Below are 17,787 nucleotides of genomic sequence, written 5' to 3'. Positions count from 1 at the left end.
CCTGGGAAGCTCTACAGCTAGGGTAGTCCTTTAGAGTTGTCCAAAATTGGAGTGAGTGGACAGGCTCTTATGCCCTTGCATCAGCAAATAATTAGAGGTGTACTGACATCCTTTCAAATTGTGCGAGTGTGGACTGGGCTGGGCTCGTTTTGGGCTAGGGTAAATCCCAAAGAGGACTTGCTGACTCAGCTGAGAACTGTCAGCCATCAACACTCCCAGCAGCTGGGGAAATGAGGGTTTAGTTCTGGGAGGAGATAGGCATTGAACTGGGCAGCTCACTGAGACATGCATCACACAAAGATAGCATAAAAAACCCAGCTATACTCTTGGACCAGAAAGCCTGAATTTGAGTATCACTTCTTTCACTTACTAGCAATGAGAATTTGACAAGTCATTTAACTTTCTGAATTTGTTTCCTCATCTGTAGAAACATAATAATAATAACAATTATTATTCATAACAATAGTAACACAAATGCATATGTTTGTTGCAATATATGCAACTGAACATTGCACTCTGCAAATTTTACTATTCAAATTCCAGTTACTATAATTTTGCGGAAAGTTTCACTCAAATAACATGATCTGTTTTTATAAGTCAGTGCTCACTTAAACCACACATCTACTATAAACTGGAATGAAATAGAAAACAATTACAGAGAAAGAAAATCAAAGAAAAAGAATTTGGTCCTGCTACATTTCATTTATTCACTCATTCTTACATTTATTGATTTATCAAATAACATGCTATTGTGAGTACACTCTGTGAATAGACTCAGATATCACTAGGGCATGCACACCATGGCAGAGATAGAACATGAGTAGACACTGACCTTCTTTGACTTTAAAGGAAAATATACTATCCAAACTCTCTACCTTGTTACTATACATGGGCAGGCCTAGAAGAGCATTCCAAGTAAAAGTTATCAGGATCTGGGTTCCCAAAACAAACCCCATACCCCACTAAACCTTTTCATGACTGTTATGTAGCATGTAATTTTCTTTTAAAAAAAAGACATTAAATTAAAACCATGCTGGCCTGTGCTTTTCAACACACAATTTCCCACAACTCCACTTATATTTGAGGATTCCGTGCAGTAACCAAGGTCCTATGATGTATGTGCCAAAGTCAGCATGCCAGGGGAGTGTGGGGGTAATATTTCGTACCTCCTACACAATTTCCTTTATACCTTCTGTGGCAGCTCCTGCTGTCAGGAGAATTGATGGTCACAACATAGTCATATATTCTTTACCCTCTGTCATTAAAAGTCAAGAAGCAGTTTGGTTGCTAAAACCATGACACATATCTCTTAAAAGGTGGCCAACCTCTGGTTTAGAAAATGCTGTTCTAAATTTTCTTGTCGTTCTGGCTACCATCTAGGTAAACATTTTTTTTAAATATAAAGTAAAAATATACATGAAGAAAAGAATACATATTAAAAATATACAGCTCAATAAATTAAGTAATTTTAAGGCCTGTATGAACTCTCTTGTAGCTATTATACTAAGTTCACACATAGTTTCCTGAAACAGTTAAAATAAAATAAGAGCAAAGCAAATCATGAAGTTTACAATGTGTTGAATAGACCTTTGGAGGGAATACGGGAGTGCTACAAAGAATGAGATTGTAATTGTATTTATAGATGACTATATCCTGAAGTCTTGGAAAACTAGGTCAATTACAGAAATGCATTTGAAGACATACCGTAATTGCCCTGGATTGCAAGCTGTATCTATTTATTGCAGTTAATTAAGCCACCGTAAAACTTGGTGATTTAAAAGACCAATCATTTATTTGCCTATGATTCCAGCTAAGCCCGCCTTGTCAGTTCACTTGTTGACTTGCCTGAGTTCACTCATGTGGCTGTAATCAGCTGGTGTGTCAGCTTGTGGCCTCAGCTAGGAAGGCTCATGTCTGCTCTTCATGGTCGTGTCCTCAGATGGGCTAACCCAGGCTTCTACATGGCAGCAGTGTTATCAAGAGCAAGAATGTCCAAGCCCCAATTCAAAAGGGCTTTTCCTGTGTACGCGGGCATCTCATCTGGTAATGGCCACTGGCCAAAGCAAGTCACATATAGCTTCGCTTAGATCGATGAGACAGGGACTTCACAAGTGCAGGTATCCATTGGGCGTCATCACTATAATAATTGAGCACCAAAAACAACTAAGTTAACTCGGGCGGCGTGATTCGTGGGGGTCTAAACAAAACTGAATTATCCACACATGAAGGTGAAATCTATGGCCTTATTACTAACTGACTGTGTGGCTTCAGAGACACTAGTCTGAGTCTCAGATTCCTCTTATGTAAAATGATATAAAAACTACTATCGGCCGGACGCGGTGGCTCACGCCTGTAATCCCAGCATTTTGGGAGGCCGAGGCGGGCGGATCACGAGGTCAGGAGATGGAGACCATCCTGGCTAACATGGTGAAACCCCGTCTCTACTGAAAATACAAAAAATTAGCGGGGCATGATGGTGGGCGCCTGTAGTCCCAGCTCCTCGGGAGGCTGAGGCAGGAGAATGGCATGAACCTGGGAGGCAGAGCTTGCAGTTAGCCGAGATTGTGCCACTGCACTCCAGCCTGGGGGACAGAGTGTGAGACTCCGTCTCAAAAAAAAAAAAAAAACTATTATCTTTAGAGATAATGATGATATAGTGAGGTGATTCTGTGTTAACACCCACTGAAACATGTTTTATAAATTATTAATTGTATAATTAAATTATTTAATTGCTATGTTTTATGATAAGTAATTCTACTGAATAATTACCTTGTATATTTAGAATGGTAAAATGTAGACCTATTTTATACCACCCAATATATGAATAAGAAGTCTAATGTATCATCTTTTTAGAACTTGCGTCATATTGTAAACACCCTATTTAGAGAACTTTATCTTTATTTACAATATAATCACGGGATTGACAGCCATAAGTTTGGTTCATCCTATGTGCTGCTAAAATTTATCTCAGGAATGCTCCTAATACATACAAACTGCTTTACTCGGGCGGCTTTTTGTGCAACGTAAATAACTAGTGTCCTTTCTATTTAAACAGTTCTACAAATAATTGTTATGTCGTTAGGCCAGCTAACCAGTTTTTTTTTTCCCTGTATTTAAACCAAAAATGATTCCTGAAAATTCTTAATTTGCAGTGCATTAGACATAGGGAAGTGTTGCAGTAACACAAAGATCCATAAGTTAATTTTCAAAGTTAGTTCATTTATTTCTCAGTGGAAGGACGATAGGAGGGTTCTGACCCCAAAAATTAATCCAAAAAATCCAGTGGAAGGGTTAACCCTGCCACTTTAAACACAAAGTTTCAATGGATATTTCATATGTCAAACTCTTCAGCCATTAGGAAGGAAAGAGAGAGAGCCAGTACTCTGCAAAGGTCTTTTCATTAAATGAAGTGGACCCTGTATACATTACTTTCAAATATTCTGTTGGTTAGAACTGAGGCTCACAGCCACACTTAACTGTGCCTAGTTACAAAGGAAGCTGAGAAATATAGTTTTGCCAAGAAACCATTTTCCCAGGAAAATGAAGGAAACAGATTGAGGAGGGGTCAATACTCTCCACCATATACAAAATTTAGATGTCTAAATATTTCTTATAAATGGAATGTAAGTGTATTCATGCTTCATTTGTATTTCTTTAGTCTCTAAACTCCTCAACTATATTTTTAAATTTTTGTATTCATTATAAAAATCACAGACTTTTAGATTTGAAAGTAAGAAATCTACTGTAAGAATCCCCTTGACAATTTTTCTGCAAGGTGGCCAGCCATTCAGATGTTAACTGAATGTTTCCATTGACATGAAACTCCTGTTGCATAATGTTACCCAGTTCAAAAACCCTCATGGGTGCCCAAATTCTACTCTCTTAATTTCTGTTTATTAATCTTAGTTCTGCTTGTGGAACAACACAAAACTGATTCCCTTTAGAACTTGTGTTATATTGTAAACACCCTATTTAGAGATCTTTATCTTTATTTACAATATAATCATGGGATTGACAGCCGTAAGTTTGGTTCATCGTATGTGCTGCTAAAATTTATCTCAGGAATGCTCCTAATACATACAAACTGCTTTACTCAGGCGGCTTTTTGTGCAATGTAAATAAGTAGTGTATGGTATAAAACCTATATGATATTTATATGGTATAAAATCTATATGATATCCTACATGTATCTGAAGACCTTATTTCCCTTAATTGTTTCTCTGGGGTGCTGGAGAGGATGTGGAGAAATAGGAACACTTTTACACTGTTGGTGGGACTGTAAACTAGTTCAACCATTGTGGAAGTCAGTGTGGCGATTCCTCAGGGATCTAGAACTAGAAATACCATTTGACCCAGCCATCCCATTACTGGGTATATACCCAAAGGACTATAAATCATGCTGCTATAAAGACACATGCACACGTATGTTTATTGCGGCATTATTCACAATAGCAAAGACTTGGAACCAACCCAAATGTCCAACAATGATAGACTGGATTAAGAAAATGTGGCACATATACACCATGGAATACTATGCAGCCATAAAAATGATGAGTTCATGTCCTTTGTAGGGACATGAATGAAATTGGAAATCATCATTTTCAGTAAACTATCGCAAGAACAAAAAACCAAACACCGCATATTCTCACTCATAGGTGGGAATTGAACAATGAGAACGCATGGACACAGGAAGGGGAACATCACACTCTGGGGACTGTTGTGGGGTGGGGGGAGGGGGGAGGGATAGCATTGGGAGATATACCTAATGCTAGATGACAAGTTAGTGGGTGCAGCGCACCAGCATGGCACATGTATACATATGTAACTAACCTGCATATTGTGCACATGTACCCTAAAACTTACAGTATAATAATAATAATAAAAAAGTCCTCTTATACTGAAGAATTTTTGGTATAAATTTGAGGAAGTGTAGAAAATCTCCCATGTTTTGCCTGGATACATACTCTTCATGAGAAATAAATTATCTGTTTGAAAATGTTGAAGCAGTGTATTTCTCCAACAAATACTAAATATTTATTTTTAAATGATGATTTATTTCCTGAATTTTTTCGGTAGTTTGAGACTGTGGTTCTGCAAATGTGGTCCACAGACCAGCAGCATCAGAAGCACAAGGGGAAAATTTTTAGAAGAGCAGAATGTAAATGTTTGGACCCAAACCCAGATTTACAGAATCAGAATCTTGAGGGGTAGAGTCCTGAAACTTGTTTTAATATGTGATTTCTCATGATGAAATGGAAAAACATAGGACTAAGGCAATAGAAATAAGCTATGTGTACTGATTGTTTTAAAATAGGTAGAACATGTTAGTTCACTTACCAGTGACATGCTAAACTGTTTACTAGAAAATAATTTATTTTTTATTTATTCAGTAAAATATTCTCTTCTTTTTAAAAATGTATGTAAACTTCAGGTTGCCTTGCCTGTTAGGTAACGATGGTAATAATCAACATCTCCTGGATTCAATGAACAATTATAAGAGTGTCTAGGAAGTTTCCTGATGATAGTTTTCTGTGCTTTAATTGTTTTGTAAATATAATGACTGTAATGAGTAAGCAGAAAGAGAAGCCAACTGAAGGGAACAGTGCGTTTTTTATAATCCTCTTTCCTAGTTTCCATTTGCTTGGCTTTATTTCCATTTGGAAATGGTAAACTGCTCAATAGTTTCTGAAAGCCAGAAACAATGTTTACATGGCCTACATAATTTACATGGTAAATTCCATCCCATGTGTGACTGAATTTTAACTTCAGAAACAATATTATCTTCCTGAGTTTTCAAACAAGCAAAGCCACCTTGCAGCATAAGTAAACACAGCAGGCTTTCATTCAATTTGAAAAGTATTAACAGATTCTTTTAAAATAAAGATGGATTTTATATATTGATTTAAATACTGATTCATTTTAAGTTTCAGTAAGCATTTGAGTATCTGCTATAACCCAGGAACTGATTCATGCTGTTGGTGAAATGAGAGCACTTTCTCCTCTTTCTGTGGTCTATAGATTTGGACACTCCAGGACTCTCATTACCTTCCCCAAATATTTGGACATATGTGACTTTCCAGAGAAATTGAAGGAATGACAACAGATAATACCGGGTATTCCAATCCAGGAAACAAAGTAGGTAGGAGAACAGAGTTTGACCTAAAACAAAACTAGAAGACATATATAAATTTTTCTAAATGTTTACTTCCACTAATATGGGGTTTCTGATGCTTTTTTTTCACATAATTGCTAGGTTAGTGTGTCATTACTAAACATTATAGAGAAAAGGGATTCTAAAACTCTTGGATTCCAATAAGCCCAGTGGTAAGAATTAAATAAACTCTTAAAAAACAAAGAAAAGGCAGGGGATAATGACCATAGCCAAGTTTTCAAATTCAGGCTGATCTGAGTTGACTCAAAAGGCAACCTCAGTGTACTAACTTGAGACAGTTCATGTAGCCTAACTGGACACCATTAAAAATTTAATTTCTACCTGTACTACCTCTATAAATTAATTGTTCTCTTGTAACTGTGTCTTTATTTGTAAAATGATTATTAAATATTCACACCTCTTAGAGTGTTTCTAATTGGTAAATTTAACTATGTAACTTTAGCAGGACAGGATTCCTGTGCTATGTACCCTTCACTTCTACCTTCATCCCAAGTTGGCTGAAATGATTCTATGAGTGGCGATTAATATTAAAAAGATCCTCCATTAGGAAGTGGATTAGTTCATTTTCACACTGCTGTAAAGAATACCTGAGGCTGGGTAATCTATAAAGGAAAGAGGCTTAATTGGCACAGTTCTGCATGGCTGGGGAGGCCTCAGGAAACTTACAATCATGGCAGAAAGCTAAGGGAAGCAAGGCACGTCTTACATGACAACGGGAAAGAGAGAGCACAGGGGAAACTGCAACTTTTAAAACCATCAGATCTCGTGAGAACTCCCTCACTGTCACAAAAACAGCCCGGGGGAAACAGCACCCATGATCCAATCATCTCCCACCAGGTACCTCCCTCAACATGTAAAGATTACAATTTGAGATGAGATTTGAGTGAGGACACAGAGCCACACCATATAATTCTGCCCCAACCCTCCCAAATCTCATGTCCTTTTCACAATTCAAAACCAATCATGCCTTCCCACAGTCTCCCAGAGTCTTAACTCATTCCAGCATGAACCCAAAAGTCCAAATCCAAAGTCTTATCTGAGACAAGGTAAGTCTCTTTTACCTATGAGCCTATACAATCAAAACAAGTTAGTTGCTTCCAAGATGGGGGTACAGGCATTGGGTAAATGTTCCTGTTCCAAATGAGAGAAATTGGTCAAAACAAAGGGGCCACAAGCCCCATGCTAAACTAACACCCAGCAGGGCAGTCATGATAAATCTTTAAGCTCCAAAACAGTCTCCTTTGACACCATGTCTCACATCCCAGGCATGCTGATGCAAGAGTTTGGCTCCCAAGGTTGTAAGCAGCTCTGCCCCTGTGGCTCTGCAGGATACAACTGCTTTCATGGGCTGACATTGAGTGCCTGTGGCTCTTCCAGGTGCATGGTACAAGCTGCTGGTGGATCTACCATTCTGGGGTCTGGAGGACAGTGGCCCTCTTTCCCACAGTTCCACTAGGTGGTGCCCCAGTGGGGACTCTGTGGGGGCTCCAACCCCACATGTCCCCTCTAAACTGCCCTAGTAGAGGGTCTCAATTCAGTAGACTTCTGCCTGGAGATCCAGGCATTTCCATACATCCTCTGAAATCTAGGCAGAGGCTCCCAAAGCTCAACTCTTGTCTTCTGAGCACCCACAGGCTCAACGCCATGTGGAAGCCAAGGCTTGGGGCTTGCACCCTCTGAAGCCATGCCTCAAGCTGTACCTTGGCCCCTTTCAGCCATGGCTGGAGTTGGAGCAGCTCAGATGCAGGGCATCAAGTCCTGAGGCTGTGTGGGCCTGGCCCACGAAACTATTTTTCCCACCCAGGCTTCCAGACCTGTGATGGGAGGGGCTGCAGTGAAGATTTCTGACATGCCTTCTTAGTCCTTTTTCATGCTGCTGATAAAGACATACCCAAGACCAGGCAATTTACAAAAGAAAGAGGTTTAATGGACTTACAGCTCCACATGGCTGGTCTTTCCACATGGGGAAAGATCTTTCCCCATGATTCAATTACCTCCCACCGGGTCCCTCCCATGTGGGAATTCAAGATGAGATTTGGATGGGGACACAGCCAAATCATATCACATGCCCTGGAGACATTTTTCCCATTGTATTGGCTATTAACATTTGACTCCTCCTTACTTATGCAAATTTCTGCAGCAGGTTTGAATTTCTCCCAGAAAATGGGTTTTTCTTTTCTACCACATAATCAGGCTTCAAGTTTTCCAAACTTTTATGCTCTGCTTTCCTTTTGAACATAAGTTCCAATTTCAAATCATCTCTTTGTGAGTGCATATAACTATATACTTTCAGGAAAAGCCAAGTCACCTCTTGAATGCTTTGCTGCTTAGAAATTTCTTCTGCCAGATACTCTAAATAATCTCTCTCAGTTTCAAAGTTCCACATATCTCTATGGCAGGGGCACAATGCCACCAGTCTCTTTGCTAAAGCATAGCAAGAGTGGCTTTTGCTCCAGTTCCCAAGAAGTTCCTCATCTCCATCTGAGACCACCTCAACCTGGACTTCATTGTCCATATTCCTATCAGCATTTTGGTCAAAAGCATTTAACAAATCTCTAGGAAGTACCAAACTTTCCCACATCTTCCTGTCTTCTTCTGAGTCTTCCAAACTGTTGCAACTTCTGCACGCTACCCAGTTCCAAAGTTGCTTTCACATTCTGAGGTATCTTTATAGCAGTGTCCTACTCTCTGCAGTACCAATTTTCTGTATCAGTTCATTTACACAATGCTGAAAAGATACTACCTGAGACTGGGTAACTTATAATGAAAAGTTTAATTGACTCAAAGTTCTGTATGGCTGGGGAGGCCTCAGGAAACTTACAAGAATGGCAGAAGGTGAAGGGAAACAAGACATGTCTTACATGGTGGCAGGAGAGAGAGAGTGCCCACAGGGGAAACTGCCACTTTTGAAACCACCAGATCTCATGAGAACTCCCTCACTGTCACTAGAACAGCATGGGGGAAACCACCCCCATGATCCAATCACCTCCCTCCAGCTTCCTCCCTTGACATGTGGGGATTACAATTCAAAATGAGATTTGGGCAGGGACACTAACCTAACCATATCAGGAAGACATGGACAAAACAAAAATTATATCTCTCTCAGATACTAAAGTCTCTCTGTCTCTGTATCTCTCCTCTCTCACACACACACATATACACAAACATAATGTCAGAATGTAGATAGTATACAGTAGGAAGAGACAATAATTTTTTTCTAAGAATAGAAATGAAAGCAGTTACGGAGAAAGACAATGAACATATAGACATAAATCTTAGCATCTGTAAAACGTTCCAAATCTTAGGGCAATGTCTCATTGGGACATTGAGCCTGCATAGTGTCTCCTACGTTGTGTGCCTTTTCATAGGAAGTTCTCAATAAATTGAATCGTAGCAGCAGCACAACTTAGACATATTACACCTCCATGCCGCACCTTAGGCAAGTTACTTATCATCTGTCATCATTTAATGCATCTGAAAACTGAGAATAATAAAAAGAATAGAGCCCACTTTATCCCAAGAAGAAAAGCATGTGGTTTTCAGAATCTTACTCTTCTGATTCTGCCTTCTACCAGAATGGCATACTTTATTTGTCCCAGAGAGCCTAGAGAAGGCAACCATTTCTAAGAATTGAATTATTTTGAAGGAAAGGTTATAATTGTAATGCCTCTGGGAATACTTTATGCTGAAAAAATGTGGAGAAACAAAGGATGCTCTGTTTTGGAAAGCCCCTAAAAGAGTTTTTGGATGTACAAATTGAGTATATTTTCAAAATGTTTTGAAAACTTGAAATACTTTGGAGTAGAGAAAAAAAATCTTAAAACGCTTTAATACCAGCTAGTTCAGACCCTTGCATTCCAATATAAGAACAAAGACTAACTGATTTAAAAGTAACTTTATAAAGACACGTATGTCCCAAAAAATAAGACCACTAGCTATTCCAGCAAATTTCCTAGTTTACAAGATCTTTCTTCTTTCCCTAACTTTTGCCTGATGCTACCTGATGACTAAAATCTCAATCCTCAAAGCCCTATAAAAACCCTTCCCTAATTCTCTTTTTAGATACTTCTCCAAACTGATACTCTTTTTGCTTAGTGAATTTTATACCCGGTTGGTTTCCCTGGAGGCTTGTAGAGCTTTAACAAATTTTAGATGAGAAACACAATTTTTAATGTACAGTTGGAGAGTAGGTAAAAGAGGAGGAAATCTAGGGAGAGACACAGGGTTCATTAACATGGAGTACGGAAGCAGAGACCCATAAGAAATCCGCAAGGCTGGAAACAAGCAAAGATATTTAAAATCAGCAAGATCATATTAAATATTTACTGCATCACTGGCTTCTAACATCAACCCACTCTGTTTACTCCAACTTTGGGGGAAAGTTCTGCTAGGTACAGTACCTCATGTTATTACTAATTTACTTTCTGCATAAACTAAATAGATAGTGAGTGGGGATAAATGGAGGTCTATGCCTCACACTTAGTTTGACATGGTGCAAATAGAAAATAACTGTAGCTGCAGAAAATGAAATTTTAGAGAGAAAGCTAATAATTTACCAAAAAACAAGTATTTAAATCAAAGGTAATAAATATAAAAAAATCCCTCTATAATCCACAAAAATATTAAAAGGAATGCTTTATTTCCCAAATGACCAGGATTGTATTCTCTAGGCAGTTTATTTCAAATATTAGAAGAAAAGATAATTCCAGAAGGTCTGAGATTCTAGGGACACCCAGTCTGCTGGCATCTGTGTCACTGCCACGTAAAGATTAAATATTAAATTTGCTATTACAAATGAAAATAATTACCTTACCCTCAACACCAAGATATTTGAGTAGATTAGTATGGAGGAGCATGGTAAAGGAGGAAAAAGAAAAGAAAGGAGATGTATTAGTTTTCCTTTTCTGCTGTAACAAATTACCACAAACTTAGTGGCTTAGAGCAATACAAATGTATTATATTACAGTCCTGGAGGTTCAAAGCCTGAAATTGGTTTTACTGGGCTGAAATTCAGTGTTGGCAGGGCTGTGTTCCTTCTGAAAACTCTAGGAAAGAATCTTCTTTTTTGCCCTTTATCAGTTTCTAGAGGATGTCTGCATTCCTTGGTTCATGGTCCCATCAATCCAACCTTCATTTCCTTTGTTATCTCTCCTCTCTAGGTTGACACTCCTGCCTCCCTCTTATGAAGACTCTTGTAATTATATTAGATCCCTCTGGTCCCTCTGGATAATCCAGTAAAAAACCCCAATCTCAGGATCCTTAATCTTATCATAAGGTCCTTTTTGCCATGTAAAGTAACAGGGATTAGGATGTAGACAACTTTAGGGTCTATTATTCTGCCTACTGTAAGAGGTATCTAAACAAGTGCATGAAAAAAATAGGACTGAAAAGTATGATGGCCCAGGAAAGAGGTGGTAGGTAGTGATGTGTGCATGGGTACATCTCTGTGCACACTCTGGAAGATTAGAACAATGGAATTTTTCTATGCGTTGGTCTTTTTGTTCAGGAGACAGAGCATAGCAGAAAGAGCTTGGAGTTGGAAGAATTGCTTTGAGTCTAAATCCTACTGCATTCTGGCTTTATGGTATTGAGCAAACCATTAACCCTCACTGAAAAATCAGGGTGAACTTTTCTTGAGTGCATACTATGTGCAGCCACTGTACAAACAAATAGTTCACCTGTAATATCTCATTTATTCTTCTCCACTACTGTAAGGATGTGGAATTAAGAAGAAAAGAATTAAGAAGAAAAGAAAGACTATGTTAGCATCAGTGTCCAAAATCATCCAAAATTACCCTTGTTAATAAATTGGCTCAGTTTCTTCTTCACTAAAATAATAGGAATAATGCCTCCCAGAAAGGCATTATTGTGAGAAATAATATGTTTCAGCAGCACTTTGTTAACTGTTACAAAATTACGTAGTGATGTAAGGTTGTATGTAGCATTTAACTTCTTTGAGGGTAAAGCGAAGAAACACAGGTAAAGTATCCTTGTTAAAAATAATTTATTGTATATTTCAAATAGCTATAAGAGAATAATTGTAATGTTCTCAACACAAGAGAAAGAGAAATGTTTGGGGTGATGGACATACCTATTACCCCAATTTGATTATTACACTTTGCATACATGTATCAAAATGTCACATGTACTCCAAAAACATATACAGCTATAATACATCAATTTTAAAAATCTAAATAAATAAGGCAAACAGTTTAGCAAAAGGATTGTATCATTTCATATTCTCACCAGCAAGGTATGAAAGTTCTGGTTTCTCTACATTTCTGCTGACGTTTGTTGTCCGAGTTTTTAATTTCAATCATTCTAGTAGGTATGTAGTACTATTTCTTGGTGGTCTAATTTGCATTTCCCTGATGACTAATGATATTGAGGTTGTTATGTGTGTTTATTGGCCGTGCATATAACTGATTCAGTGAAGTGTCCACTCACACATTACACCTATGTTTCAATGGGTTGTTATTAAGCTATTCTTTATATATTCTTTATATTCTGAATACAAGTCCTTCATCAAATATATGCTTTGCAAATATGAAAAAACATATGCTAGTTAATGTCTGATACAAACAAGTACTTTAAAAAGCTTATTTCTCTCCCTTTAACACTTTCTGTATTCTTAGGCAAAGAAAAAGATTATTTTTACAGTGACAGAAGTATTGGACATTGGAGTGTCATAAACCATTTCACATTCTCTTTGCCCAAATCTGAACATCACATGTAAGTGAACTGCCAAGCTGGGCCTCCTTCCCTTCTTTTATTGCAGTTGTTTTATTTCCAGTAAATCTTCCCTGACAGCCCTAAGACATTTGGCAAGTGTGAGTCTAGAAGGCAGGACAAGGGCATGTAGATAAAGAATGACTTGAAGGAATGGAATGACAGGCAGCAATAGACTATTTCACTTAGCACATGAAATCCTTTCCATTGTTCCTCCTCTGCCTTTCTGGCACTTGTGCTCTCAAGACAACTTGCAAATTATGGGATCATCTATTTTCACTTGAATGCAAAAAGATTTCCAGTTCAAAAGTTTATTTCTAAAAATAAATAGAGCTCTTCACCAACATCACACGCATCATGAGTTACCAATGTATGTTATCTCAGAAAAATGACCAGTTCTTCCTAAGTCTTTCATTTTATTGAATATTTCATTTAAAAACCACAAAAGAACTCTGGTAACACTATCACCTACATTCAAGTCTAACATCCGAGCTAGAGAATGAACAAGGTTTATTCCCTGACATTTCTCTAGTGAGTTGAACATTGCTAAGGAAGACTGGGCATAACCATTTTAAGTAACATGATGTCAGCCCTAGAAATTATTAGTCTGAAATTTACTTGTGTTATTTTTCTCATCTGGGCATATGCAACAGCATGGCTAATTGACATTAAATTTTTATTTTGTTTCAAATCTTTTAATTGGAGAGAATAATGTAGTTTTCCTTCAGTGGAGGTGGGGGGCGGAAAGCATTGCTGGAAAGGATTTCAAGATCAGTCCTTTTTGTTGTTGTTTTCTGGGGGCATGGAAATAATTGTGATTTGAAGTTTCTGTTTGAAAAATAAAAGCGTCCAGGGAGAGAGGCTAGGAAAAAGGCAGGGAAATAAGTGATGAATCTTGAAGTTTAGAAATGTGGGTCACATCCCTGAGAATGTTGTCATAAGTGACACCCTGGTTTCAAAAGTTTTGGATCCAGGAACAAGAAGAACCATGAAGATGAGGATTATGAAAGTGGTGAAGGGAACTGACTCTAACTCTATGGTCTAGAAAATAACTCACAGGGACAGCTTGCCCACGGAACAGGAATAAATATTGTCTCATATGAACTTTATATTATAACCCAGGTGAGAAATTACCTTGAAATCTTGGCATAGAAGCAGCCTCCTACCAGTTCTTTGTGTCCCTGCATTCTTAATTACATGGCTATTCTATGGGAATAATTTCTTTTTGAATGACTGAAGACCCTTGGGTCCAAAGGACACAACTGCACATCAGTCATGGTAAGGAGGAGGGCAATTTTTTTCCTGTCCATTAGGGCTGAACTGAGATTTGCTAAGACATCCTGAGTAGGTAAGGAAGGGGAGCGGACACCGATATTCGCCATCATGTAGGAGACGTTCCTTGTTTTGCTCTGAGGCTCCATAACCCCTGCTGCACTGGCAGTAAGCTGATTTTTCTTTGGGGTATTACTCATTCCTGCCCAACTCTCAGACTGGAGAAGGTGGCAAGGGCTAAAAGTACCCACAATGACATTTTTTTAAGTCTCTAATAATGTATGCTCTGTCTATAACTAAGTCTTAATCCTGAGTTTTCAGTTAGTTAAGCCAATAATTTCGCATTTAAAGTCAATTTGAGTTGGTCTTTCTGCTTGCTATTTGCCTCTAAAAGAGATTCTGAACTGATACATATAATATTTATTTTTGGTTATTAACTGTCACTCTCTTGAACACTCTGTAATCTGAGGAACTTTTAGAACCTGAAGTTCAAATAGGTCTACCCATTGAACATTGGAACCCCTCCAAATACAATGCCACAGTAAACACATAAAATACAGGCAAAGGCAAGAATTTGGATCCATATATTGCCCAGTCTATTCACCACTTATTCAATCTCCTTACCTATTGCTTTAGGATTTTTTTACCCCTGGGCTCTTTATACTTTTGCTTTCTCTATCTGCTTTCAGCCTTTGTTTTGAAAAGATGCTAGCCTTTCCCTCTGTGGCCTACTGTCCTTAGCTCAACTGTACTCTGTATTCATAGAGTGTCTGGGGTGTAAACTCTTGTCTCCTGGTTTTGGGAGCTAATCCCCAGTCTCTTCATTGCATCCCACCCTCAACAAGAAACACCCTTACCTAGATAAGAGGATTTCTGCATTGAGTTTTAGAGATGTCACTCTTCCTGTGGAAAGACTTAATTATTAACTTAGAAACATTCAACTGTATAAAGCTAAGGGAATCTTAGAGATTATTGTATACATTTCTTACTTTAGTGGAGAGAAATCTAAGGTTTAGAGCAATTGTATGGATTGTTGAGATCACAAAATTAGTTGTAGGTATCATAAACCATTACTGAAGGTGATTTTATTGCATTTAAAATGTAATTTATGTCCTCTCATAATAATATAAAAAGCACCAAAGCACTAATTGGGAGCAGGGGACTTCTCTGTCTTGTGTGTACCTGGGAGCGAATAACTGAGTACTGAGTGAAATTGGAAGCTCTTTTTATCTGGTAATACTTTCTAACGCTATCTATGTTTAGACAGAGAAAGTTAGTGACGTTAAGGCTAGTTTAAATCGTCAAAGCTTTCTGGGTAATCTTATGACGATCTTCTGGCTTATCTCCCACTTCCTGCTGCTCATATTATTTTCTGCTTAAAATAAGGACTTTATAACTAGAACTGACTTGGAGCTGTTTCTCAAGAAATTATCACCTCCTTCAATTTCTGACCTTAATATCTAGTCTCTATTCAAGCAGAACTGTTAACTTGCCAAAAACACAATATTCCTCATATTTATCCTATTTATCCATACTGCATTTACTTTTTGGTTCATTTAAAAGAGCTCCTTGGGGAATAATAGATGAACTAGCTCAGGAACACACACACACACACACACACACACACACACTAAACTGGCCATGTCTATGGAAAGAGAAGGGAAAGTGTAAAAATGAAAAATGTTCATCTTGCTCTCAAAGTGAATTTGTCCTTTTTTGGATGAAAACCTGGGGCAAGTCCTGGCTTCAAACTTACTTATTTTGTGTCTCTGAGAAACTGTTCCACCTGTGCTCTGAATCACATCCCCTCCTCCCTTCTCAAGAACTACAGATAATTTCTTTCTTATATCTTTTACCTCTTGCTGCTTACCCAATCCTTCCAATCAGCATTTAAGTTTCTCAATTGTCTCCTACCTTAAAATCACACACTCATTAAACAAACAAAAATACAAAAATTCTCTCCCCTCAATTATTATCCCTTGTCTGTTTTCTCCCTCCTATAGACAAATTTCCTGAAATACCTACTCACCATATCCAGTTTTATTCTTCTCCTCACTTCTCAGCACACTCCTTACTGACTTCTGTTTCCAACACACACTGACAACATCTTCTCACTGGTCACCAATGATCTCTGTGTTGCTAAATGCTATTGGTCTATTTTTATCTGATTATTCTGAGACATCTTAGACTACATATTGCACAGTAGCTCTCTTCTGGAGCATCACACTCTTGTGGTTTTCCCCTGTTCTGACACTTCCTTCTAAGTCATCTCTGCTGACTAACACACATCCACGTTGTCATCAACCTAGCTTCTGTTTTTATAAAATGGCAGCTATTCTACTTAATTGCAAGGATTGTTATAAGAAATAAATGAGATACTATATAGGAAATTCCCTAGAACCTACTCACAGAATATAATTGACTTTCAAATGTTACTTATAAAAAATAAGTAAAAACAAAGATTTAAAGTCTATTAAATCTATTGTTAATAATAATGTAGCATATACTTGAAATTTGGTGAAAGAGTAGTTCATAAGTATTCTCAACACTACACACACACACACACATAAACAAGGTAACTATGTGAAGTGATGGATATCTTAATTAACTTGATTGTGGTAATCATTTTGTAATGTATACATATATCAAAGCATCACAGTGTACATCTTTAACATATTTAATTTTTTTTTTTTTTTTTGAGACAGAATCTCTCTCTGTCACCCAGGCTGGAGTACAGTGGTATGATCTCGGCTCACTCGAACCCTCCTCCTCCCGGGTTCAAGCGATTCTTCTCCCTCAGTCGCCCGAGTAGCTAGTACCACAGGTGCGTGCCACTACACCCAGCTAATTTTTGTATTTTTAGTAGAAATGAGGTTTTGCCATATTGGCCATGCTGGTCTCGAACTCCTGACCTCGTGACCCACCCACCTCGGCCTCCCAAATTGCTGGGATTACAGGCATGAGCCACCATGCCCAGCCAATATATTTAATTTTTATTTGTCAATTATATCTCAGTAAAGCTGAAAAGCAAATAAAATATAAGGTCGATCATATTTTCCCTTAAATGCAGCACTGACCATTTTGCTAAGAAACTCTGAATCTAGAGACAGCCATTCTCTTTGATTAATACAAATATATATTCAAAACCAACATATTTTGATCAATTCATTTACTTCAGGGTAGATTAATGGTTTTCTTTTCCAATTATAAAATTCACAAATTGGAAATCAGGACAAAAGTTCTCCAAATAGTTAAGTTCTGAATAAATTTAAAATATGATACATGAAACTGATATACATAAAATTAGTTTTGAAGAGACAGATAAGAACTTAATTTTGGACTTGAGGAGTTCCAGTGGGATAACTAATTTTCCTCCACAGAAAATTTTCTGCTTCTCTTTATTTGGTAACACATGTGGCCCCCATGGACCCAGAGACAGGATAATTGACTTAGGCTTGAACAGTCATAGACCATATTCCTTTTATCCTTAAGGATAAAAGAATAACATCCTTGAGGAGTTCTAGTGAGATGGATAACTAATTTTTCTCCAGTCCAAATGGTGGCCCCCAAGTATCCCCATTTCTGCTGTTAATGTCCCTGTATCATCGCCACCC

At 37.9% G+C, this 17,787-nt stretch overlaps 1 long non-coding RNA gene across 1 annotated transcript, besides 1 other annotated feature; it reads right to left on the bottom strand.

Annotated features, from left to right (window-relative positions):
• Nucleotides 1-1,770: 1,770 nt before the first annotated feature.
• Nucleotides 1,771-16,272, bottom strand: LOC105375905 (uncharacterized). Its single transcript, XR_929058.3, has 2 exons — nucleotides 16,203-16,272; nucleotides 1,771-2,137 (listed from the first exon to the last, which is right to left on the bottom strand). It is a non-coding gene; the product is annotated as an uncharacterized LOC105375905 (long non-coding RNA).
• Nucleotides 7,783-8,360: an enhancer, noted in NCBI's record as "H3K27ac-H3K4me1 hESC enhancer chr8:76042510-76043087 (GRCh37/hg19 assembly coordinates)". NCBI's record gives its function as "activates a minimal SCP1, AML or CMV promoter by ChIP-STARR-seq in primed H9 embryonic stem cells {active_cell/tissue: H9 hESC(primed)}" and the evidence as "EXISTENCE:reporter gene assay evidence [ECO:0000049][PMID:30033119]".
• Nucleotides 16,273-17,787: the final 1,515 nt, after the last annotated feature.

This window comes from Homo sapiens, chromosome 8 (genome assembly GCF_000001405.40).
Source record: "Homo sapiens chromosome 8, GRCh38.p14 Primary Assembly".
Classification (NCBI taxonomy): domain Eukaryota; kingdom Metazoa; phylum Chordata; class Mammalia; order Primates; family Hominidae; genus Homo; species Homo sapiens.
The sequence above is the reverse complement of the archived record's forward strand: the minus strand, read 5'-3'. Positions and strand labels throughout refer to the sequence as shown.